At 39.6% G+C, this 26529-nt stretch overlaps 1 protein-coding gene across 4 annotated transcripts in view, besides 1 other annotated feature; it reads right to left on the reverse strand.

Annotated features, from left to right (window-relative positions):
• The window catches only part of HYDIN (HYDIN axonemal central pair apparatus protein), a 428639-nt gene that overhangs the window by 237416 nt on the left and 164694 nt on the right, over positions 1–26529 (reverse strand). For all 4 annotated transcript variants that reach the window (NM_001270974.2, NM_017558.5, NM_001198543.1 and 1 more), the window contains exons 16-18: positions 25206–25341; positions 22670–22834; positions 21005–21157 (exon numbers count right to left, since the gene is read on the reverse strand). In NM_001270974.2, the coding sequence (NP_001257903.1) occupies positions 21005–21157; positions 22670–22834; positions 25206–25341 (454 nt within the window). The remainder of the gene's footprint in view (positions 1–21004; positions 21158–22669; positions 22835–25205; positions 25342–26529) is intronic.
• Positions 587–881: a silencer, noted in NCBI's record as "tiled region #1178; K562 Repressive non-DNase unmatched - State 21:Repr". NCBI's record gives its function as "represses a minimal TATA promoter and a strong SV40 promoter by Sharpr-MPRA in K562 cells {active_cell/tissue: K562}" and the evidence as "EXISTENCE:reporter gene assay evidence [ECO:0000049][PMID:27701403]".

Below are 26529 nucleotides of genomic sequence, written 5' to 3' on the forward strand. Positions count from 1 at the left end.
TGAATGTTGCCTTTCCCTTAACCACCCATGGCCCCACCCCATGCCCCAGCCTGTGCCTATAAAGACTCCAGACTCAGCCAGCAGAGAGGAGAGGCAGCTGGATGTTGGGGATTACAGAGGGGACACTTTGATGGCATAACTTCAGAGAAGAAGCTGGCTGCAGATGGCCGGACTTCAGGGGAAGATCACCTACCTGCCTCATCTCCTTTTCAGATCCCTTTCCCCCTGAGAGCCACTTTCATCGGCAATTAAATCTCCCACATTTACCATCCTTAAATTTGTTCATGTGACCTCATTTTTCCTGGCTGCAGGACCAGAGCTCGGGATCCCTGAGTGCAGATACAAAAGGCTGTCACACTGGCCCTTTGCCCTCATTGGCAGAGGGCAGCTGCCCCATGCGACAAGGCAAAGGGCCCACTGAGCTGTTAACACCTAAGGTGTCCACAGACGGCAGAGCTGAAACAGCACTGTAACACACCCTCTGGGGCTTCAGGGATTGCAGGCACCGCCCCCGCCCACCGCCCCCAAGATGCTGCCACAGGGCTTGCATGTAGTTTGCTCCTGCTGGCACCCAGGAGTGCTCACTCTGGCTCCTGCACCCACTCACCTGTGCACTCCCACCTGTGAGGGGTGGAGTGCAGCAGGTCCCAGTAAGTGGAGTTTGATCTTGCTGGTGCCGATGCGGTTGGCTGGTTTCAGCACTCATGCATTCCAGTTCCCACCTCATTCGCTTGCGTGCTCCCTCCAGCAAGGTGTTGAGAGCAGCAGCTGAGTAAGGGACACACTCCCTTCGTGAGTCCCATGAAGGGGTCAGGGAAATATCCTGCTTCAACAGGTTTATCTTTCAGTGATCTGATCCTGCTGCTCTCCTGCTGGGGATTCTGCATGGCTCTCCAGTGTCTGGATCAGAGGCACTGAGTCTTTTTATCCTCTTTGAGAAAGCCAGGAACCCCTTCATCAAAAAATGCACATACCCCCCCTCCCCGCACCCCCCTCCCCCCCACACACACAACTTTACATACAAGTTCCAGAGCTCAGGGATCCCAGTTTTTTCTGTTTGATCCATACGTGGACTCACTTTTTATATCTGGGGAATCCATGATTTTGTGTGAATCTCGGTAGGAGGCAGGCTCTCACTGCCATTTGAGAAGTCACCCAGACTCTCTGCAAACATGGCGGCCCACAATCCAGACTGGTGTACCAGATGAGCTTCTGGTCTGGAGGATCTACTCCCAAATCTTCATAAGACTTAGGGCCCCACTGCATTTTCTAGGCTTAGTTTCCGGGACACCAGGTCATTTACCTTTCCCAAGTGTCCCAAGTGTCATCTGCATTTAAATATGCTGCTCTCAGAAAGCGTATCCCCATTTCCTGCTTTTTTTCTCCTTGGCCTTCAAGTCTCCACTCAAATGTTCCGACCCACGAAAAACTTAAATCTGACAGAAGAATGAATCACGTCCTCCTCTGCGCTTCACATTATAACCCAGCTGTATTGTTTGTATATTTGTTTCTTTTATGAGATTATAAACTCTTTGAAGAAGGAAACTATTTTGTTTACCCTTTATCTCTCCCCTTAGTACCAGGTATAGGAAAAGGGCTCAAAAGTAGTATTTATTTGTTGGTCAGTAAATATATGGAAGGTGTCCAGCCTCACCAGTAAGCCAAATAAACACAAACTTAAATAACAACAAAATATTTTTTCATCTGTCAGACTTGGCCGAAAAAATCCACAAAAATGTTAGCAAGAATCTAGGAGTGATATTTTTCAACACTGCTAGGGGGTAGGACATAAACTGTACAAGTTCTCTGGGACAGAATTCACAAGATGTATCGAGACTTTTAGTTACATACATGTCATTTGACCCAGCAACGGCATTTCTAGAAATTTAGTCAAAGAAAACAATTACAGATGTCAGCAAAATTAAGACACAAGCATTGCTTATAGTAGTAAAAAACTGGGAACAATCTATCAGTAGGGGATTAGTTAAATCAACTGTGGTAGAGTCAAATGATGCAATAAAACTAGCCAGTAAAAATGATCTGTAGACGAATATTCCTTAATAATTCATATTAAGTGACTACAATACATTGTTGAGTGAAAATAACTGGTAACAAAATAGTATTGTCCCATGGGAGGGAGTAGGAATACAGACAGACCACACACACCATAAAAAATTCAGAAGATACACAACAAAAATTTAATAGTGGTTATCTGCATGATGTGATGACAAGTGATTTTTTTTGTTATCTTTAACTTCTGTTTGTTCTATAAAGATAATGTTACTTGTGTAACAAGGAGACACACATATATATTTATTGAATAAATAACTCAACTTAAAAGGATATGGTCACTCTTTTTAGAGCTCACTTAATTTTAACTTTGTTTGCTCTCTTGCTGCAGTCTCATTCCCACTTTGTTTCTTAGAAGCTTTTAAAAAAATAAATAATACATGTAGACAGTGTAACATTCAAATGGATTCAAAGGGTGAAGAGTTTTTCTTCTGCCAGTGCATGGTCACTAGTTACCATCCCCAGAGGTAGCCATTGTTACAGTTTTCTAAGGATCCTTCCAGATATACTTTATGATCAATATTTGCATACGTTGTTTCTTACATAAATGGTGCAATACTCTACAGACTGTTCTGCACTGTGATTTAAATTTTTAAAGTTTGTATCAAAGGTATACATACACACAATTTCAAAAGCCAAATGGTTCTGGAAAAGTTATATTGTAAAAAGCAGCAGCCCTTGGAATCCACTCTCCCATTTTTCCCATTGCACGAATCCTTACCTGTCAACACAGTCCACCACTGTCAGTTCTTTTAGCCTTTGCTTTTTGGATTTGCCTCTATATTGCTAAGTACTCTACTGCTACTTCTTAAGTTTTCAGTTTGCACATTATTCATTTATTTTTCCCCATGGTAAATAATAATAGCTTTTTTCTTGCCCACTCTCCATGTCTCTCTCTCTCTCTCTCTTTCACTTTCTTCTCTTCATCCTCCCAATATAGTTAACATTTACTTTTTGGTGAGATAGATATTTGCACTTGCACCATCATGAGTATGCAAACACTAAACTCAGCTGAGCTATAAAAAAATGGTCTATGACGACGTTTCCCTTCTTATACAACGTTCAGGTTCCCAGGAATTGTTTTCATGTGGTTTTCATGTATCTATCATGGACATCACATTCATCCAAACTCATCCCCAAACTCTCAACCAAAGAGGCAAATTGCCTCTCAATACTTTCAGAAGCATCTTCTACACAGGTTCCATCTTCTTGGAGACAAATCTCTCCTGGAGCTGCCTGTTCTCCAACTCCCATCTGGACAGGCTGCCCTCTGGGCCTGCAATGTGGCTGGCATCCTAGGACTGGCAGGCAGCAATATCCTGTGCACCCCTCAGCATTCTCTCCTGTGTTTGAGCCCCTGTTTGCTGAATCCGCGCCTTCCTAACTGTGGTACAGCACTCTTCAGCGGCCTCCTGACAAAAGGTATGTGGAGTGTAAATTTTTTGAGATTTTTTTATATCTGAAATGTATTTTATCCCCAGATTTTGTTAGTCTTTTGGCTAGATGATGAATTTAAGATTAGGATTTATTTTCCTTCAGAAAGTAATTTTTTTTTTCCTCTAGTGTTTCTGTCAAGAAGTCTGATGCCACTCTGGTTCATAATTTTTTTGGTTTTGACCATGATTTTTTTTTAATCTGGAAGTTTCTGCAGCCTTCTCTTTGTGTCCAGTGTTCTGGAACTTAGTTATGGTGTGCCTCGACATGGGCCTGTTTCCATCCACCGTGCAGCATATTTGATGAACCTTCTCCGTAAATTCCTTTCCTCTGTTCTGAAAACATTCCTTCAATTATTTCTTGGGTAACTTTTTCATCTGCATTTAAGAATCTGCTCTTTTGCAGCACATATTGCGTCTTAGAACTCCTGAACAAACTGCCTCATTTTCTTGTCTTTCTCCTAATCTTTTTCTTCTTTTCCTACTTTCTGATAGTTCCTCAATTTTATTTTCCAGATATTCTATCAAATTTTAAACTTCTGGCATTATATTTTTAGTATCTATGAGCTTACTTTTGTTCTTGTTCTTTTAAAAAATATCATTCTGCTCTTGTTCATGGATACAAAGTCATCTTTACTTTCCTGAGATTTTTAATTGTCATTTTGTTTTATTTTAAACTTTCTTCTTGTATTGTATTTATTTTCTCCAAGTTCTCATTTTTATGTTTTTGGTTTCTTTCTTCTGCATTACAGGTTTTCTTGGTGGAGCCTGGTTAAGTATTTATGTTTAAGAGTAAAGCACTAAGGCTGAGTGCAGTGGCTCATGCCTGTAATCCCAGCACTTTGGGAGGCCAAGGTGGGAGGATTATTTCAGCCCAGGAGCTCAAGACCAGCCTGGGTAAAATAGTGAGACCTCATCTAAAAAAAAAAGAAAGAAAGAAAGAGAGAGAGAGAGAGAGGGAGAGGGAGAGGTGGAGAGAGAGAGAGAAAAAGAGAGAGAAAGAAAGAAAGCAAGCAAGCAAGGAAGCCTGCCTGCCTCTGTGTGCTTGGGTGCCAGCCCACCAAAGGCCACCAGACATTTTAGATGCCCAACTAACAGTTTATTTCTGCCCTTCCTTGTGGCTGGTCAAATTGCCCACAGAAGAACCTTCCAATTTTCTGGCCATATTCTGAGAATTGGGGGAGAAGGGCGCTGGAATTGTACCTTTCAGTGTGAAGACTTTTTTGTAGTTCATTTGTTTTCATAATGGTATCCTGCCCTCAGCAGTGTCTGTGAAATCAGCTCTCAGTTTAATATTATTCCTTTTAAGGGAAAAAACCTTTTTTCCCTGATGCTTTAAGATTTACTCTTTGGTCTTCAGCATCTTTACAAGAATGTGCCTAGATGTGGTTTTGTGGTTTTATCTTGCCTGGTTTTCATAATGCATTTTGATAGCTTGGTCTCAGCCTTTATCTATTCTTCCTCATCTCGCCTCTTCTCTGGTAACTCCAATAACCATACCCCCCATGTTTGTTTGCTTTATCATCTATTCTGTATTTCTCATCCTTTTATCTCTGCAGGTTTCATTTTGGGTAGTTTCTTCAGACCTATCTTTGACTTCCACAAGACTCTACTCATCTGGGTCTAATATACAGTTTAATCCATCTATTGAGTCTTTAATTTCAATCATATTTTTCAGGTCTATAATTCTCATTTGTTCTTTTTTATAGTCTCCAGAACGCCATCGCATTTCTAAAATTTACTTTTTATTTCATTGAACATATTGAGCATATTTTAGTTTTCTACTAAGTTGTCTTGTCTCCTTATATGCCTGGTTATTTTAAGACTAACCATTGGATATTGTATATACAAATTGTAGAGGTACTTTGAGGCCTAGAATAAAGTTTTCTTCTTCCGGTGATGATACAGGTTTGCTTCTGGGAAAGCTGTTGGGGGAACTAGAATTTCCATCTTTCAGGCAGAGATTGGCATGATTTGAATTGAGGGTCTGTTCTAGTTTATCCTTGTTCCTAGTGTGCATCCTTTCAGAGTCCCAACCAAAAGTCCAGACATTTTACCAGAGCCCATCCTCTTCTAATTTTTATCTCCCTAGCCTGACTTGACTCCAATTTTTATCTCCCTGGACATGTAGGTCTTTAGAAAGCTACTTTTAACTTTTCAATGTCTTCTGGAGCCATATAGGAAAAGCAGTCCTAAATGCTGGGCATACATCTCTTGGTTTTTTCCTTTTGTGTTGTCACTAGCTTTGTTGCTCCCCAGTTTCTCAAACTCATGATTTTCTCATTTTGTCCAGCTTTTCTCCTTGTTCTTAGAGGGAAATAGTTTGGAATGACAGATTAAATAGAAAGGCCTTGAACCCTGATGTGCTAAGAGTCCCTTTTGGTCAAGCAATTGTTCTACTGCTTGATTTCTCTATTTGTTGAAAAAGTAGTCTGTAAAAATTATGAGGTTAATGGACTTTGATTATTGGGGAGGCAAGTATATCTAATTCATATTGTTTTCAAGTAATATGTACCAATAATCTTTTAGGTTACTAGCTTAGCATCCTTGAACAAAGACCATCATCTTTTGAGAGTCATCACCTTCTCAAGACTCAGTGAAAGGTGTCAGATCAAATGCAAGGCATGATGGTTAAAATAAAAGGAAAGATGGTTAAATAAAAGGAAACAGGACAGCTCCTGAGCACACAGGCATGATTTACACAGTGCTAGGAAGCATCTTTACAAACAAGTAAGCTTCAAGATAGAAAATCAGAAAGTTAATGGACCTAAATTTTCTAAATAGCAAATTATTTCTTAATAAACCCATTTTCTTTGTTATGGAAGGACATATGTACACTCATCAATACAGATGTTTTATATTTTATAAGATGGCTTCACTGTCAAAAATTAAGAGAAACAAGTCAAGAGTATGGAAAAGACAGCATTAGAGCTCCCATTTCACAGACATCTGTACTACGTGGATCAGTTTGTTCTAAACCTTAAGGCCTCTCTGAGTGTCCCTTATTTCTTTTCCTTTTCCTTATCTGAGAAAAATAAAAGACCTTCAAATGTAGTGTCACAAAAAGTTATGTCTTTTCACAAGCCATTTCACTTGGCTCTTTTTGTCTGTCAACATTAATAATCAAAGCTACCATTTGTTGAATGCTTTTTTTCAACAGGTACTTTTTACATATATTTGCATATTTAATCTCCTAAATGCCATTATTAGTTCCATTTAAAGAGAAGGAACCAAAGGCTCAGAAAGGTTAAATAACTTGCCTAGAGTTAGTGAATGCAGAACCAGGACAATTTCAGATCTGTCTGAAAACAACATCCTCACTTTTGATGGTACAGTATACTATCTCAGTACTCATACACTGAATAACTGCTTGTTGAATGACTACATATGTAAGGCAACTGTGCATGGCACATGATCATGTCTGCCCTCATATAATGTTGCCCTTCCCTCCCGGATGCATCCCAATTCAATGTCCTAACACCCCAGAGGGAGATTTTTTCCTTCCAAAGCACAAAACTTATTGTTGCATGCAATTTCATTGCAACTGACATTAAAAGAAGACATACTCCAGGTGCCATCCTACAAAGAGTTTTATCATGTCACATACACTTCTTCAGTCTCTGTCCTTTCGTTTGTGACAGGGAAGAGAAAACGAAACAGAGGTAGAATAAAATTTTTTCCTTGATAAACATCATATAATCTAGATGGATGTGTGTAGGGGATTTAATATCATTAATAAATCTCTATACTATGCTACTTAATGTATTTCTTCTTGTTTTTCTTCATTACATAAAAACATTTATTTGATTTTGTACTGGCTTAATGTTGAATATGACTGTATACTATCAGTGCACAAAACAGGAAGAGTCAATGCTTTAGTTGATAATGACCATGACAGCCATCTCTTAAAAGGGACATAAATCGAGTTGATGATGATGCTGGTAATGGGGAAGAAACATAAATTTTTATGGGGGAGAGAAGGTGGGATTTAAATAAAACCCACAACAGATCCATAAAAGGAAGTTTTACCTTAATTTCCTTTTGTAATGATAGGTGCTAGCTGTATAATTTAGTTGGAAAAAATATTTTTAAAAAACTAATTAAGAGCTGAGATGGACAAAATGAAGATGGACAGGCTTGCAAGGAATGCAGGAGACCAAGGTATTTTCCTTTTGTCTTCTGAACAGCCCTTAGTGACAAGGAAACCAAACTCCCTCCTTTAATTTTGGCTTCATATTATTCTCAGATGAATCATATTCAATCAGTAGAGCTTTCATTCTAAATTCAAGGAAGGTGCTGACCCATCATCATGTTAAGTAACACTCTATCAATAGCTTTCTTTCTCTCAGTGTGGTTTATAATCAATATAAACTGCTGGAATCTATCTTTTGGGTTTTACATTAAGCTTTGGCAAAATGAAAAAGGTCTCAGGTGGGGTTGGGGGTGGGGGTGAGGGGCTCACAGCTCTCTGTTAAGCACAAACCTTTGCTTCTGGAAGTCTCTTAATACTATTATTACTGGTATCACTGTTATCCTCTTTGGCACTAAACGGGTCACTTCAGATGGCTCAGGAAGAACCCAATCCATTTTGGAATGACCATGACTTTTATGTGGCAAAAGAATAGATGCCCACCAAGATAAACTAGAATTTTCTTCTCTTCTTATTCCCTTATTCCTGTCAGTTTCTTTTTTAAATGATATATTTTTCCTTTTTATTTGACATGTAATAATTGTGCATATTTATGGAGTACAGAGTGATACTTTGATACATGTATACAATGTGCAATGATCAAATCAGGGTAATTAGCATATCCAGCTCCTCAGACATTTATCATTCTTTGGGTTGACAACATTCACGTTCTAGCTATTTGAAAATATACAATACAATATTGTTAACCAGTCACCCCACAGTGCTATAGAACACTAGAGCTTATTCCTCTTATCTAGTTGTAATTTTGTATCTGTTAACCAACCTCTCCTTTCTCCACCTCCCCTCTACCCTTCTTATCCTCTGTGGCCACAATTTTACTCTCTACTTCTATGATCTCAATTTTCTTTTAGCTCCCACATATGAGTGAGAACATGTGGTATTTATCTTTCTGTGCCTGGCTTATTTCACTTAATGTAATATCCTCCAGGCTCATCTATGCTGCTGGAATTAACAGGATCTCATTTCTTTTTACGCCTGAGTAGTATTATACTGTATATATATATCACATTTTCTTTATCCATTCATCTGTTGATGGACACTTAGGTTGGTTCCACATCTTGGCTTTTGTGAGTAGTGCTGCAGTAAGAATGTGGGTGCAGCCATCTCTACAACACTGATCTCCTTCCCTGTGGATAAGTACCCAGTAGTGGGATTGCTGGATCATAGGATAGTTCTATTTTTAGTTTTTTGAGCAGTCTCCATATTATTTTCAATAGTAGCTGTACTAATTTACATTCCTACTAAGAGTGGATAAAAGCTCACTTTTCTCAGCATTATTGCCAGTATTTGCTATTTTTTGTCCTTTTAATAATAGACATCCTAACTGGGGTGAGATGCTATCTCACTGTTTTGATATGCATGTGAGTTTCTTTTATAGATGTTTCACTATTAAGGCAAAGATAAAAAATGTAGGAACAGAAAACCAAATACCACATGTAAGTGGGAGCTAAACATTGAGTACGCATAGACACAAAGAAGGGAACAAAAGATTCTGGAACCTACTTGAGGTGGAGGGTGGAAGGAGAGAGAAGGTCAAAAAACTATCTATTGGGTATTATTTTATTACCTGGGTGACAAAATAATCTGTACACCAAATCCCCACGACACATAATTTTCCTATATAACAAACCTGCACATGTACCCCTGAATCTAAAGTAAAAGTTAAAAAAAGAACTCTGCTCTCTTATGCCAACTGAAAACACATTTTACCATCCTTTTGTAAGTGTTCATGTGATAATACCCAAAACACTAAAAAGTAGTTAAGAGGGCTGACTATAAATCAACGAGTTGAAGCTTTAAAACATGTCCCTTACATAGAAAAAGAGGCGCAATTTTGAAAAAATGAAAAACTAGGTATAGCTTTACTCCAAACCAAGATAAACATCATATGGGCCACAAGTAGAACAGAAACAATAGAGAGGCCCGAACCTACAGACCTACTGGGCTCTAGGTTCTGAAACCAGTAGAGGCAGCTTGAGAAAGAAAAACAGGAACGAAAATGATCCTGCAGGAAGCAAGGAATGAGGCCTAATGTCCCCTGCTAAGACAGCCTCCCCGCATTTGAAAGAAGGCTGAACAAAGTTGTGATGTTCCTGAAGCTATACCTTATACACAGACTGTGCCAGTGGTGGTGGACGTGGTGGTGTTAAAGTAGAGACTGCTATGTAGACAAACCTGAGGCCAAGCCACTGGCCACTGCAGTGACTGAATCTGTGATTTCTCCAACATCCCCATGGGAGGAGAAGCCCAAATTTGATTCTGGATTAGTGGTCACTGTCTAGGCTGAAGGCAAATGTAAAAATGCTAGAAAAGAAGGTGTGAGCACTGAGAAGGAGAAAGAAACATCCTCCATATCAGATTGATTTATAATTTAAAATTCCAAATGCTCAGAAGAACAGCTGCAAACAATCAGGTAATGAATTCATTCTGGAACAATCAATAGTGCAAACTGAAATTGATTAGAAAATGCACCCGAGATTCTTAAAGAGATACAGAATAGGAGAATATACATAAAACAAAGATTGTGAAACCATAGCAGTGAGGTAAGACTCAAGAATAAGCGGCTATAACCAATTACAAATCTTGGAATTGAAAAATATAGTCATTAAAATTAAACTGCCAATGTAAATAGATGGAATAAACTTTAGACTTGCCAAAATCAGACAGGATTTGCAAATTGAAACATACTGAAGAGGCAACAGAGAGAGATGAAGAGGTGAAAAATATATATGAGAAGTAAAATAAAAACAGACATGTAGGATAGTACAAGAATATATATATATAATATATATATAATATACACACACTGGTTGGGGTGTGTGTGTGTGTGTGGGTGTGTGTGTGTGTGTTTTCTTAATGAAGGTAACAGAAAGAATGTCAGAGAAGAAACATTTGAAGAGATAATGGCTGAGACATTCCAGAATTTAAGGCTCAAATCCTCTGATATATTAAAGAGAAAATTTAAGAAAATCAAGGATAAAAACATAGTCTTAAGAGCAACTAGTGAGAAAAGACAAGTTACTTATAAAGGAACAATAATCAGACTAACAGCAAAATTTTTATCACCAACAATTAATGCCAGAGGTCAATCTTCAAAGAGTTGAAAGAAAAGAGAAAAACCATCAAATAGAATCATATGCTCAGCTAAACTAAGCATCGTAAACTACAGATCTCTAGCATTAGAAAGACATAATTTAGTAGAAAGAAACATAACCACAAAAAAGCACAGAAATACAAGAAATAAAACAAGAAAAAAATCAACCAACTATTTTGGTAACTAGTGAGTGATACAGAATAGACTCATAGCCCAAAAATTCCTCTGTGCTCTGCCTATTTATCCATCCCTCCCACTAATCCCTGGCAACCACTGATCTTTTTACTGTCTCCATAGTTTTGCCTTTTCTAGAACGTCATACAATTGGAATCATACATATGTAGCCTCTTCAGGTTGGCTTCTTTCAGTTGGTAATATGCATTTAAGTTTCCTCCATGTTTTTTAGCATTTAAAATCATAAGACAATATTTGGAATAATTTTTTACCAATACATTTGCAAACTTTGATAAAATTAAAAATTCTAGAAAAATTTAAATCTGAATAGTCATTATAGAAAATGATTCATTAGTTACAATTTCCATACATTTCCATGCATCTCCTAACATCCATAGACACACCACGATCCTGAGACTAAATGGTTTTATCATTAAGCAATAGATCCTACTTTATATAATGATTATATAAGATCTTTTCCAAGGATTAAAAAAAGAGGTAAGGATAACTCACATTCTAAGAATGCAGTATTTTTGGTATCAAAACCAGAGAAATGCAACATAAAAAAAAGTAAAACAACAAATGCAAAAATATAATATGATAGCAATCATATCAACAGCATACTCAAATAATAGTATATTATAATTGGTTGGATTCATCCTAGGAATGTAAAAGTGATTCACAACCAGAGAATCTGTTAATTTAATTTGTTATATTAACAGATAAGGAAAAAAATCATATAATCATCTGGATAGACACAGGAAATGCATTACATTTCAGCACGTGTTAATGATAACAAATAAGAAAGGATTAGAACTTTCTTAATGTGACATAGGCGTTTACCAAAAACCTATAAGAGATGTTATGCTTAAAATGAAACATTTGGCCGGGCGCAGTGGCTCACACCTGTAATCCCAGCACTTTGGGAGGCCGAGGCAGATGGACCACGAGGTCAGGAGATCGAGACCATCCTGGCTCACACGGTGAGACCCCGTCTCTACTAAAAATACAAAATATTAGCCGGACGTGGTGGCGGGCGCCTGTAGTCCCAGCTACTAGGGAGGCTGAGGCAGGAGAATGGCATGAACCCAGGAGGCGGAGCTTGCAGTGAGCTGAGATCACGCTACTGCACTCCAGCCTGGGCGACAGAGCGAGACTCTGTCTCAAAAAAAAAAAAAACAAAAAAAACAAAAAAAAGAAACATTTGAGGCTTTTTCATTAATGTGAGGAATAACAGCGTCTACTCTAACCTCTACTATTCAGCATTGCATTGAAAAGCCTATCTAATGCAATGAGTCAGGAAAAAGCAGCAAAGAATTAAGGATTGAAAAGGAAGCTTGCAGATAAAAGTCTACGAACAGAATTAATGAAGAGATGTGTGGCAAAATTGAAAGCTGACACAAGAAAATTCAATAGTGCTCCTATAAATTATTATCTAGTTAGAAAATTCAATGCAAAAAGGTACCATTCACCAAAAGGAACTTAGGAGAGATGACAAAGGAAGTGTAAGACCTTTATGAAGAAAATTATAAGCCTTAATTAAAGGATATAAAAGAAATCCCAGTAGATATTCATAGTAAAGCTCCAGTGTTTATTTTCTAGGTATGCAAATTTGAGCTACTTATTTATCATCCCTGTGCCTCATTTTCCACATTGGTAAAATAGACATAATAATAAAATCTACCTAATCAAGCTGTTGAGGATCATGTAAAATAATACATACAAAAGGACTTAGAACAGTGCCTGATACATAACAAGTGTTATTGTTATCATTAAGCTGTAGCTTTTAAGACAGTAAGGGTAGTGACACTGAGATAGATAAATGGGATATAACAGAAAGCTCAGAAACCCACCTAGGCACATATTAAGTCTGAAGTATAACAGAGGAAGCAATATCAATGCATGAAAAAAGGAAAGAGTATGCAAGAACTGGTGATAGGACGAATGGCTTTCTTCATGAAAAAAATAGACTTTACTTGCATTAGATAAAAAAATAAACTTAGCTGGATTAAAGACATGAAAAATAGGAGTCTAAACCTATTCAAATAGAAGGACAGGGATTGATTTCCTAAACCATACACAGAAAACAGTTATGGCTGGCCGCAGTGGCTCACACGTGTAATCCCAGCACTGGCTGAGGCGGGTGGATTACTTGAACCCAAGAGTTTGAGACCAGCCGAGGCAACATGGTGAAACCCCATCTCTACAAAAATTACAAAACTTAGCAGGGTGTGGTGGCATGTGCCTGTAGTCCCAGCTACTTGGTGGCTGAGGTGGGAGGATGGTTTGAACCTGGGAGGTGGAAGGCTGCAGTGAGCTGTGATTGTGCCACTGCATTCCAGCCTGGGTGACAGAGTAAGAACCTGAAAAAAAAAGACAGTAAGAAAAGAACAAAACAAAGAAAGAAAGAGAAAGAAGGAAAGAAAGAAAGAAAGAAAATGGATACAGTGAAGAAAATGATTCATAAAATTGACATCAAAACTAAAAACATCTTTAAAAAATCCAAAACTTCATTACAAAGAAAGGGCTAGTATCCACAATATATAACATCTATAAATAAATAACTGATAATAGATAATTGACAGAAGAGGACACCCGAATGAAAATTCTCAATCTCAATAGTAATAAGGGATATACAAATTAAAACTACATAAGATATCATTTCATGTTCAGACTGGCAAGAACTTGAGTTGGACCATACTAAGTTTTAGCCACTACATAAATAGATACCTCAAACACTCCTGGAAGGGCACATTGATATAATCACTTTGGAGAGTAATTTGGCAACATCTAATGAGGTTGAAAATGTACCTATCTGAAGAGTCAACAAATTCCACTCCTAGATATACTCCCTATTTGTATATACCCAAAAACTCTTGCCTATGTACACAAGGAGACAAGTATTCTGTTCACTGCAGCATTGTTATAATAACCCAATTGTCAACAAGTAGGCAAAGAAATAAACATAATAAGTGGTAAATGGAGTATCCACAGCAATTAAAATGAAATAACTAGATTTATAGGCATTAACATGGATAGATGTTGTAAACGTAATTTTGAGCCTGAAAAATAAGTTGCAGAATGTCACATACAGTGATATGATTTATATACATTTTAGAAGCAACAACATGCCACAATATAGTATTTATGAATGCATATAATATATATATTATGTAATAAATATAAAAACATGGTTTGGACACACATCAAATTCATGATACGGTTGCCTATGGGCAGAGAGAAAGGACATAGGACTGGCAAGGAGAATCTATGGAACTCCATAGACATTAACATTAATATATAATTTCTTTAAGTAAAGGATCTGAGGTAAATAAATGTGGGGAAAGATTAACATGTGTTAATTTTTGTATCAAGTATATCTCTTGATTTTTTTCTGTATTAAAATATGTTTCATATACATAGTGTCTGACCTCCAGAATTAAATACTTCTATGGTAGAACAGACAGAAAATAGACTAAAATGTAGAGAAGCTGAGTGATGGCTGACTTTTATCATGCAACCTTGGCCAGTTCTCTTAACCAAGAGAATCTCGGTTATCTGATCTGCTGAATGAGGACACCGCAAACCTTAAGGGGAGTGGGTATGTGTTGAGAACACAGCACGTGCTAGGCATGAATCACATTAACACAAGAGTTGGGCTGTGAGCTAAAAACTAAATAGTATATTGTAAATTCACCTTAGGAAACAAAGCTACTATTTTGTAAAACCCATCAGAAACAAAAAGAATATAAAGAGGCTTAACAACTGTAGTTGCTGTCTGATTCATGCACATTTCTTTCCTTTTTCCTTATGCCTTTTTCCTCATCATTTCCCTCCACAGATGTAACAATTTAGAGGGCAGAGCTAATCTACTCATTGAAGCCTGAGAAACAGCCCATTCTATCTCCTCCTCACACACATTGTGGGGTGGAATAGCTTAATGATGTCATCTGTCAAAAGGCCCTGGAGTCATATTGTTTGTCTATTAGAAATGTCTGTAGCATGGAATCTTCTAATACAGTCAATTCCCCAAGGAGAAGACAGAGTTCCAGATCTACAGTGAGCCCCAGTATGCAGGGGTGATGCAGTGTACAAGGCATAGCTGCAGTTTTCTACAGACCAGTTGCTATAAGAAGTTTAAAATGAGCTCTCCGGTAATAGCCACAATTTTCACTCTCTCTGAAAATGGATAGAGTCCAGCACTGACAATCTCCCTTGATGTTAAATGCCTGCCAGCCAATTTCTTTCTGTTTGTCTATTTCTTTTGTTAAAGTAGGGGACACAACTTTGAATTTTAAACTTCTACTAGCTGTAGTAGTGAAGAATTTTTACACACATTTACATACATAACTAAATGCTCTATGTTATACTACAAAGGATAAAAAAGAAAGTGAAAAAGTAAATTATGTGTCTTTATTTCAGATATACAATTGAAGGCATTTTGGTTGGCGGAAAAATGGCATTGTGGAGATAATTTATATATGTACATTTCAACACCCCTCTGCATAAAATGAAGTACATACAGTCATTTTCTGTACTTCAGAAATACTCCTTAATTTCTTCTCCTGCCCTTTTAACAAATCCTACTCCTCTAGGTGTGTCTACCTTAAAGGGTCATTTATGAACATGAAACCGTGCTCCTTTCACCATTTCCAAGTCCATTTTCATAAGCACTGCTGGGGTAAAGTTAGGCGGTTCATTAGCGCAGAGGAAAAGAGAAGGAATCTGAAAGTCAGACCACTGGGGCCAGAACCAGGCCTGCCACTTACAAGTTGTGGCAATTAACTTAACCTATTTCTACCTAGTTAAAATGGGAATAATAACAGTATTTTCTCACAGAATTGTAGAAAATGAAATACTGTATAAAAAGTGGCAAATAGAATGAAATAGATGTTAGTCAGAATTAACTTAGTGTCACCATATTGCCATCATTATAATTGTTAAGCCAGCTGCTACGTGCTGGAAAGTCAGTGCAGAGACTACTGTCATTTAAAGGAGACAGACACATCAACAAATACATACAGAAAGGGGGTCCCTATTTAAATGAGGAAATAACCCAGTGGCTGAGGGTCTGAAGGAGCTTTGAAAGCCCAATAATTCTCCCTTGCTGCCATATCACTGTGTATGGCTGTGGCAAGTGATGAAGAAAAATAAATGTTTTAAAAGAACGATGCTTGGATGAGGCATCTGAATTCCTGTTTCCTGGATCCAGGAATTCTAAGTATCTCATTACAATGGCCTTTCTCTGCAGATCACGGAGGCAGAAGGCCACTACAAAGATGTCTTGGTGCCATCTGAGTCCCAAGGTGTCACTGACATCTGGACCCAAGGTTTGAGCTAAAGGTAGCCAAGGCTGAATTAGAGCCAAGAGCAAAAAGAAAACGATTCCAGATGCTTCCAAACAAGTGCCGAGCAAGGCACTTCCTCTGCCTAGCAAGGGGCACCCATTAAAAGGAGGCATCTGTCCTCCAGCCCAGTGCTGAGGTCCCCAGGGCCCTGGGGCACTGCTGCATCCTCACCCTTATTTCCGCTGCTCATAGGGAGGGGAAAGTCTCTCTTCCTGATAGAGCTCCCTGCATACAAGCAGAGCGCGCATTCTCCTGCCAACAGGGCCTTTCCATTCTCCGTTCCCACATTCTGAGATTTGTTTTTTTTTTTTTTTTTTTTTACTCCTTCAAACCAGAGGTGCCTTATTTGATTGTTCCAAAGAAGTCAGCCTGCTGGGAACTGTTGGTGGAGGCTGATATTCCAGGTGCAGGCATTCCAAAGCAAAGGAGAGTCTACTGTTCCAGGTCACAGAACATTCTTCCTTGTACTAATCAACTTTTTTTACACTGAAAATAAATTGTTTTAATAGAATATAAAAAATATAATCTTCACTGTTTCTTCATTCCATACTATATGAAGAGGTCCCAGGTGTTTTTAAAAATCATTTTTTTGTATAGTATTTGTTTCTGAGGAATTCCAAATTGCTCTAAGTGTCATTTATCTTCCAATATCACTATGGAGGTAGGCTTCGGCTTCCCATCTCCTGACCCCTCTGGCTGATAACAAACAGCTGTTTCTTGCGAAGGGTAAATCTAATCACAGTGGTGCTGTGCTGTGTGGCCGCACATGAGGCTGAGTGTGACAGATGGCTGACGGTGAGTGCCACATCTGGGAAGGGCTGACATTCACCCTATGGCCAAAAGAGGACAGAGAATGGCCCCTCCTGTCACAGCATCCAACAAGAAAAGAGAAGAACTTCCAGCACCTGAATTTGTAATAGGCTTGGGGAATAAACTATTAATTGAAGCTCTCTCCTAATGCTTAGTAATTCCTGTAAGAATGCATTTGAAGGTTTGGTACTGTACGTCAAGTTGAAATTTTTCAGTTTCCTTCCACTGTAGTTAATTTCAAATTAGCATAGTTCAATTTTTATAACGTTAATACATATCATATTTACTAGGACATCCAACAAAAATCTCGGCTGAAATAAGCGTTTAATTTTCCCCTATGAGAACTACCTGAAGTTGAAACCACTTTTCTTTTCTTCTTTTGTTTTTTTTTGAGATGGAGTTTCGCTCTGTCACCCAGGCTGGAGTGCAGTGGTATGATCTCGGCTCACTGGACAGAGATTGACTCTTCCTCTCCCAGCATCAACTCGGTACTGAACCAGGAAGCAACACTTCCTAAGCAGTACCCTGTGCTTTCTACCAAACACATCAATTAACTAATTGGATAAAGACTAGTAAAAATGTCTTTTCTATAGGATTTTTCTTTAAACATTATGAAACAATATTCTTTACATGAGATCCACACAGTGCTAGAGCACGATTGGAGTTGTGTGAAAACCTCTATTAAAAAGACCAGTGACCATATGTGAATGTGGCTGCCTTCATAATGAGTAAAGATAAATGATAATAAAAATAAATAATGATGATAAATGGCTGCTAACTGGGACCAACGTCTCTGGTGAGCTGTCACAAGTCAGCAGAAAATGCCATTCCTTAAATTTTATGAAATTAATAATACTTGATTATTCAGAAATATCTGACAAATGCTGAAACTAAATGTTAGTTCTCATCCAAATGCAATAATTTGACGGTAGGCAGAGGGCTATACAATTAAACATTTTATATTTAAATTTAGAAAACTATTTCTAAAATTAAGAATACTTTCAATTATTGAATTAGAAATTCCTACAAAATGGGAGAAAATTTTCGCAACCTACTCATCTGACAAAGGGCTAATATCCAGAATCTACAATGAACTCAAACAAATTTACAAGAAAAAAACAACCCCATCAAAAAGTGGGCGAAGGACATGAACAGACACTTCTCAAAAGAAGACATTTATGCAGCCAAAAAACACATGAAAAAATGCTCATCATCACTGGCCATCAGAGAAATGCAAATCAAAACCACAATGAGATACCATCTCACACCAGTTAGAATGGCAATCATTCAAAAGTCAGGAAACAACAGGTGCTGGAGAGGATGTGGAGAAATAGGAACACTTTTACACTGTTGGTGGGACTGTAAACTAGTTCAACCATTGTGGAAGTCAGTGTGGCGATTCCTCAGGGATCTAGAACTAGAAATACCATTTGACCCAGCCATCCCATTACTGGGTATATACCCAAAGGACTATAAATCATGCTGCTATAAAGACACATGCACATGTATGTTTATTGCGGCATTATTCACAATAGCAAAGACTTGGAACCAACCCAAATGTCCAACAATGATAGACTGGATTAAGAAAATGTGGCACATATACACCATGGAATACTATGCAGCCATAAAAAATGATGAGTTCATGTCCTTTGTAGGGACATGGATGAAATTGGAAATCATCATTCTCAGTAAACTATCGCAAGAACAAAAAACCAAACAGCACATATTCTCACTCATAGGTGGGAATTGAACAATGAGATCACATGGACACAGGAAGGGGAACATCACACTCTGGGGACTGTGGTGGGGTGGGGGGAGGGGGGAGGGATAGCATTGGGAGATATACCTAATGCTAGATGACGAGTTAGTGGGTGCAGTGCACCAGCATGGCACATGTATACATATGTAACTAACCTGCACAATGTGCACATGTACCCTAAAACTTAAAGTATAATAAAAAAATAAATAAATAAATAAAATTAAAAAAAAAAAAAAAAGAAATTCCTAAACTCTACAAAACCCCCACCATTTCATGTCTGTTCTTGTGCAAAAATAAAATAAAAATTAGCTTATAGAAGACTAGCAGGTCTAAATGTCATTATGAAATACAGTTGACCCTTGAACAACATGAGTTTGAACGGCATCAGTCCACTTTTATGTGGATTTTCTTCCACCTCTGCCACCGATGGGACAGTAAGATCAACCCCTTCTCTCCCTCCTCCTCCTCAGCCTACTTAATGTGAAGATGATGAGGATGAAGATCTTTATGATGATTACCTGCACTTAATAACTAAGTATGTTTTTGCTTCCTTATGATTTTCTTAATAACATTTCTTTTCTCTAGCTTACTTTATTGTAAGATACAGTATGTGATACATATAACATAGAAAATATGCGTTAATCGACTGTTATTGGAAAGGCTTCTGGTCAACAGTAGGCTGTTAGCAGATAAGTTTTTGAGAGGTCAAAAGTTGTATGTTTCTTTTGCTGTGCTGAAGCTCTTTAGTTTAATTAGGACCCATTTGTCAATTTTTGTTTTTGTTGTAGTTTCTTTTAGAATCTTTGTCATAAAATCTTTGCTAGGGTCCATGTGCAGAATGGTATTTTCTAGGTTATCTTCCAGGATTTTTATAGTTTTAGGTTTTACATGTAAGTCTTTCATCCATCTTATTTTTGCATATGGTGTGAGGAAGGGGTCTAGTTTCAATCTCCTGCATATGACTAGCCAGTTATGCAAATGCCATTTATTGACTAGAGAATCTTTTCCCCATTGCTTTTGTCAACTTTGTAAAAGATAAGATGGTTGTAAGCTGTGTGGCATTATTTCTGGGCTCTCTATTCTGTTGCATTGGTCTATGTGTCTGGAATGAAATCATGTCCTTTGCAGCAACATGGATGGAGCTGGAGGCCATTATCCTAAGCAAATTAACACAGGAACAGAAAACCAAATGTCACACAAAGAAGGGAACAAGAGACACTGGGGCCTACTTGAGGGTGAAGGATGGGAGGAAGAGAGAATATAAAAACTACCTGTTGGATACTATGCTTATTACCTGTGTGATAAAATAATCTGCACACCAAACCTGTGACATACAATTTACCCGTGTAACAAACCTGCACATGTACCTCCTGAAACTAAAATAAAAGTTTAAAAAAAAGTTATATGTGAATTTTCAACCGCATGGGGGTTTGGTGTCCCTAATCCTCACATTGTTCAAGGGTCAACTGTACATAGAAATGAGACAAATCCATTTCTAAAACCATTTTACATCTATTTTGTATCTGTCTTTGCTGTTCACTTTAATTTCTGTTTTTGGTGAATACTCTCCTGTATTTCAGACATCCTCACAAACTACCTTAAAATATTGCTAGAAGGAAGAGAGGAAAAAAATAGAATAAACACACCAACATATGTATAGCCAAAAGGACTCAAATTAAAGGGAGCACTTCTAGTTAAAGAGACATCTAAAAAGTGTTTTTTTGAGGGCTGGGGCTGGGCTTAGGTACAGTTCAGTAGGGGAGCTTGTTGACCTCCGAAGCATCTTCCTGAACTGGGATTCTATTGACTGTACTTGCCTGTTTACCAAAAGACATGCACACTGTGTTTCTTAATCAACAAAAAGTATTATAATAGACATCCCTTGAGCTAAGGCATCCCTTAATCAACAAAATTATTAATTGATGCATACATTATTATGTTAATTTATTATAATAAAGAAGAACTGGGGATGGGAATGACGTGGTTTAATACAACAACATAACCATGCAAATCTCTGCTTCTGGTGATCATTTTCAAAGACATGTTGCAAAAATAGGGCCATTGCCTATAAGCCAAAGCTGTGTTTCATCATGTCCCATGACTTACCATGTGTGCCTGGAAAAATGCGGGAATGAAGGACTGGTTGCATAGGTTGAGAATCCTGGAAGAGTCTTTTAGGACGTAGATATTCCCGAAGTCCACTTGATTGGGATGGACGTAGATAACTGGGCCTTCTCCAGCGCTCTTTAAGTGACATACCTGAGTTCCGCCAGAGAGAAAGAACACAGGAACAGCTGGAAATGGCTAGCCACTTTTAGCCATTCCTTCAATAAAAAGCAAGGGCAAAAGAGGATGCTTATGAGAACTGGCACCCCTTCCCACTGGTGTGCTGTGGTCTCGGGAACACAGCGAGGGCCATGCTGGTCAGACCTGTGAATCCAGCCTGGATTTCCTCCCCGGAAAGAATGAGCAGCTTCCCCAGGTCAGCCCAGAGCCATGCATTGAGGGGAAACCAGAATCTGGGTCCCCTCCATCCCACACAGCACTCCAGCCTCAATGACACTTAGTACGGGGTTAAGGGTCAGCACTTCAAAGTCAGATGTGGCTGGGTTTGAGTTCCAGTTCTGTTGCTTTACAAGTGGTGTGGCAGGGCAGGGCCACTGCACATAGTTGTGAGGGTTGGAGATTGAAATCCACTTTGCTCTACTCTCTTCTTCCTGTCCCCGGAGCCAGGCACTGTGTCTGCCTGAGGAAGGTGGCCCTTTTCTTTCACAAAGTTCTGGCTGCTCAGCAAGCTACCCTCTCATGGGCTGCATCTGTGCAGGGGGGTAGGACAGCAGCACAGTGAGCCTCGTGGGGGACCTGAACTGGTGGCATGTTTTGGGGTTGGCCTGCCTTGGTGATGCTGTTTTATAAGTTAAGTGGCTTATTTACGGCATCTTATATGGAAGAGATAAAAGCAAAATCCTAGTGTTTTACGCTGTCTAAGCAATCAGAGTCACAACAAAGAAACGTAAGGTGACATCACTAGTTCCCAAGTAAACCACATGTCTAGGAATACAGAGCCTGTTGGGCAACCTCCTGTAGGATTCGATGTTTATCCTTCAACTCAGCCTAAGCAGTGGAGAGCTTTCCATGAATCCCTCTTCCTCTTCCTCTTCCTCTTGGAGAGAGACTATTTCTCTTAACAGCTTGAGTAGGCTGATGGCACATTAGCTTGAGTAGGCTAATATGAGCCATGAGTCAAGTTAATATACAAGAAAAGCTCAGGTGAGCAGTGAAGGAAACTGATCTCCCAGCCTACAGGTGACAAACCAGTGATACCCAAACCCAGCTTTGCACCAGGAACAACCAAGGAGCTTATTAAAAATACAGATGTGCTGGCTCCCGTACAGATGTGCTGGCTTCCTCCCCTCAGAGTTTCTGATTTCAAAGGACTGGAGAGGGGTCAGGCATGTGTGACAGTGTGTGTGTGTGTGTGTGTGTGTGTGTGTGTGTCAGAGAGAGAGAGAGAGAGAGAAACTCCTGGTATCCTGTTAGGTTTAAGGATGATTGCTATAAAACACCGCTTCTGTTAGATGTAGCCATAAACAGATTCTGTAAAGTCACATAGCACCGGTATTTTACCATTGCAGAGTAAAAACATAAAACCCTACAACTCCAAGCAACTGGGGTGTATGTGAATATGGTGTGGGCCTCAAATGAGAAAGCTCAAAATGTTTGAGAAGAAGCACAGCAATTTCAATTGCAGTTCTGAAAATGGACTCTCACCAAAGGGGGGTCCTGGCTCCCAAAGATTGAGATGTAAACCGTGGATCTGTGTTCTCCAGTGACCTGGGTCTCCAGGACCAGTGGTATGTGGATGGTGCTGCTTGGGGAGATGACCCCGCTGGGGGTGGGGCTGGAAAACAGCACAGTAGGCACCTCCTCACACACCTGGGGGAGAGAAAACCAGAGGGGTAAGGACAGCACAGCATGGAACAAATAGCGTATTTGCTTATTTTGAAGTGTTTTCCTGAGTCCGTAGAGGTGTTTTAGAAATGTCTTATTATTCAAGCAAGTAAATAGGGATGAGCACCCCAATTCGGCCAAAAGGAAGTTTGGTTAAGTGGGATGTGCGTGAGGCCCAAAATTCAAAGTGCCCAGCACAGCAAGATGCAGAATTATCCGCAACTCAAATAAGTTCAGGGCAACAGCTTTCCACTTTCCTTAGGAAAAGGAAAAGGTCCACTTTCCACTTTCCAAGTTCCTTAACCTGGCCCTCTGCACCCTCACGCATCATCCCCACTCCCTTGCCCTTTGTGCTCCATCAATAGAGGCTGCTGGTGTTTCCTGAATCCATGATGCTGCTTCTGACCTCCAGTCCTTTGCACTTGTGGTGACTCCTCCTAGAACGCCCATACCCATCAACCCATCTGGCACACTCATCCTGAATTCTCCCTCTCTTCCTCAAGGGCCCTAGGGTGGGAACCTTTCCTCTGTCCCCAGGGAGCATCCTGTGCAGTCCTTTTCCACAGCATGCACTGGACAGCACCATGCCACCTGCATCTCCCGCTGACAACTTCTTAGCTTACAGCTGGGCCTCTCCTCTCTACATGACCACTTTCTGACCCAAAGCATATGCTCAGTTTTTAAAGTGAGGAATGAATGAATGAATGAACAACTGTCCAGTATTGACCAATTTGTGTTTCTCAGAACCCTGTTCTGCACCATATTACCAGCTTTTATGCATCAAGAACGCAAATAAAATTTTTAAAATGCTACTATATAACTCTGGGAACCATTTCTCAGAGCCTCTGCTGCTGGGGAGGACGACAGAGCATGCAGGTGTCACCTGCCTGGGGTACGCCACAGTCTCTCTGCATCTGGTCTGGCCTAACATGGCCCAGTCTAACTCCTCCCTGTGCCGCAGTGCTCCGCCGAGCCTTATGACAGCCTGAGGTCGGACTGATCTCTTTACCTAGGTTTTGGTATCTTGTTTATTATGGATTTTTTGGAATTAATTTTGATTTCTTACAATATGTAATGGAAATACTAAGTATCTTGAGTGTTTGGCTTCCCCTTAAATTTTGTGCCCAAGGCAAGTGCCTCATCCTATGCCCAGTCCTGCTGTGCAGAAACAACTTCCCCTGACCCCAGATGCACACTCCACTCTGAGTTCTTGAAATGATCATGCACTGTGCAGGGCTGGCCTGGCCTGCTGTGGAGCATCTGAGTGTTAGACCTTGTCTCCTGTCACCCTAACCCTTGGCTTCTAGTTCTGTCTCAGAGAAACCCATAGAACCATTCTATTTCTCTCTTACGTAACAGCCCCGTGACTTGTGAAAGGTAGCTGTGTTATCCTAGCTAATTCTATTCTGTTTCAGATTAAACACACATATGATTGGATTTGCAGATGCCATGGATTGCCATTTTGGTTACTGCGAACATGGTGCTTTTTCGTCTTCAAGTTTCCATTAGAAAAATACAATGACAACATCTGAAGACAAAATTCTGGCTGTGTTCTGACCAGCAGCTATCACCTTCCTTTACCTAAAGGTGGTAATTCTCTGCGGCAGCCTAAACTTGCCTTGGTTCTGTGGCCTCCATATTGCTGTTTTAACTTCCATTGATCTTGTAGCCAAATAAACCCCCATATGACATTTTTGCATATATTTTAGTTAGAATATTGTAATTCTATAACTGAGTTTTATACCCAAATGCATTCTTGGTAAACTGCATCTCAGTAGTAACCTTCCATTACTCTAATCTGTACAGATTTTTAAAAAATTGTTTATCCATCTGTGTTTAACTCCTTAGTCTCCCACTTAGCTGGGTGTAGTGGCATATGGACAGACACATTTCATAAAACATGAAGAGATAATTCCTCCTTTCTTATTCCTGTATTGTCTCTAGCTTTCTGGTCCAACAAATCTACTTATAAATATTGCATTACTTACTGATGCCATTCAACTCACAGCCATGGACATAATGAAAACTCCTAGCTCATTTCCCATGCATGGTTAGTTCACAGGCAATTATTTGCAGATGCAATTCTGCATGTTGGCTTAATTGACACTTTCCCTTGTTTATCAAGGGTAATTTCTCTGGGAAATTAACAACGATTTACACCTGCAGCTGCTCAGGCATGCAGCTAGCAATCCAACTGTGACTTTATAACCCGATCCTTAGACTATCTAAGGGTTAAAAATCAGCATTACTTAAGGTCATGTGTTCAGGAATGTGGCACTTCAGAGGGATTTCTCTTTCTCATCAAGGGAACTCAATGGAAGAATAATTAATACTGAAGAAGGAGAAAGGAACTCACCTGAGGCTGGACCTCATAGAATCCTGGGAGGTCATCTTGATTGGCAAGCTGGAGTGTTTTCTCATACGGGTACTTCAGGAAGCAGTGCCCAAAGTCCACCTCTGTATTGACCAGGTGGAGGGCAGGTACAACACACCTGCTCGGAGGAGCCCATCACACAATTCAAAACAGAGAGCTTGTTTACATACAGAAAACGCAGAGCCCCAAGCGAGATACATTTGTCAGTGTCACATAGTAGTTTTTCTCTAATAACCACATTAGTCACTTTCAAAGCTTCTCTCCTCCTCTCTTCCCTGTCTCTTGGCCCCCAGTCACCACTTTTTAATCAAAAAAGGACTAGAAGCAGAACTCCTTGAAGAGCTGTCTGGTGGGTAATGACTCACATTTCCATTGTTTTATATATTTGGCCTTCTTTGGGCAAGGGGTCCCCATGGCGCAAGATCCATAGGGTAGTGAATCTGTTTCCATGCCAAACAGGGCCAATGCCACCAGCATGTGGTCCTAACTAGCTGTGACACTTTGGACCAGTCAGAAAGCCCCCCAAGGACTAGCGACAGCTCACATCATCTAAATAACAATAATAATGCTAATTCCTATGCAGAACAGCTGTCTTGGATGCAGAGGCTCAGGTGGCTGCTTGGTCCAGAACTGGCACTGTGACGGGGTTGTCACTGTGCCGACATGGCGGGGGTGAGGTGGGGGGAGAGGGAGGGAGGGTTGTATGCAGAAAAGAGGGGAGTTGAAGCCCTGTGTTTACCATTGGTCTATTATTAGGTGACTTGGATTTTATTTGCCGTCTGTGACTCTCAATGTCTATCCTACCCTTTGCCATTGCTTCAGTATAGTGCAATGGTGAAGAGTACCAGCTTTTGAATTTGCAGAGCCAGCTTCAAAGACTGACCTTACTAAGTACAACCTGTGTAACCTTGGGCAAGATGCTTTCTGTCTCAGAGTCCCATTTCTCTCATAGGTAAAATGAGGATAATTCTAGGGATTGATATTGGCATTATAAACTCTTCTTAGGGTGCTGGAAGGGCATAGCCCAGCACCAGGTAAGTGCCCAGTAAGAGGGAGTGAGCCTGTGGCAGAATCATGGCAGGCTGTCACTGCTGGCTCTCAGGAGAGAGTTACTTGAGGCTACAGTTCTAAAAGCAATTCTTCTGTTAAGAGTCAGTGAGTAGTTCCTACAGATTACACCAAAAATAAGGACATGAAAGAGGCTTTCTTTAACCGCAAAGTTTGTGATTTTGCATGAGTGTTCATTTCTAGCTGGAATGGAAGTTGTCTGTTGACCCAGTGACTTTCTTAAAGCTAATCCTTTACT

This window comes from Homo sapiens, chromosome 16 (genome assembly GCF_000001405.40).
Source record: "Homo sapiens chromosome 16, GRCh38.p14 Primary Assembly".
Classification (NCBI taxonomy): Eukaryota; Metazoa; Chordata; class Mammalia; order Primates; family Hominidae; genus Homo; species Homo sapiens.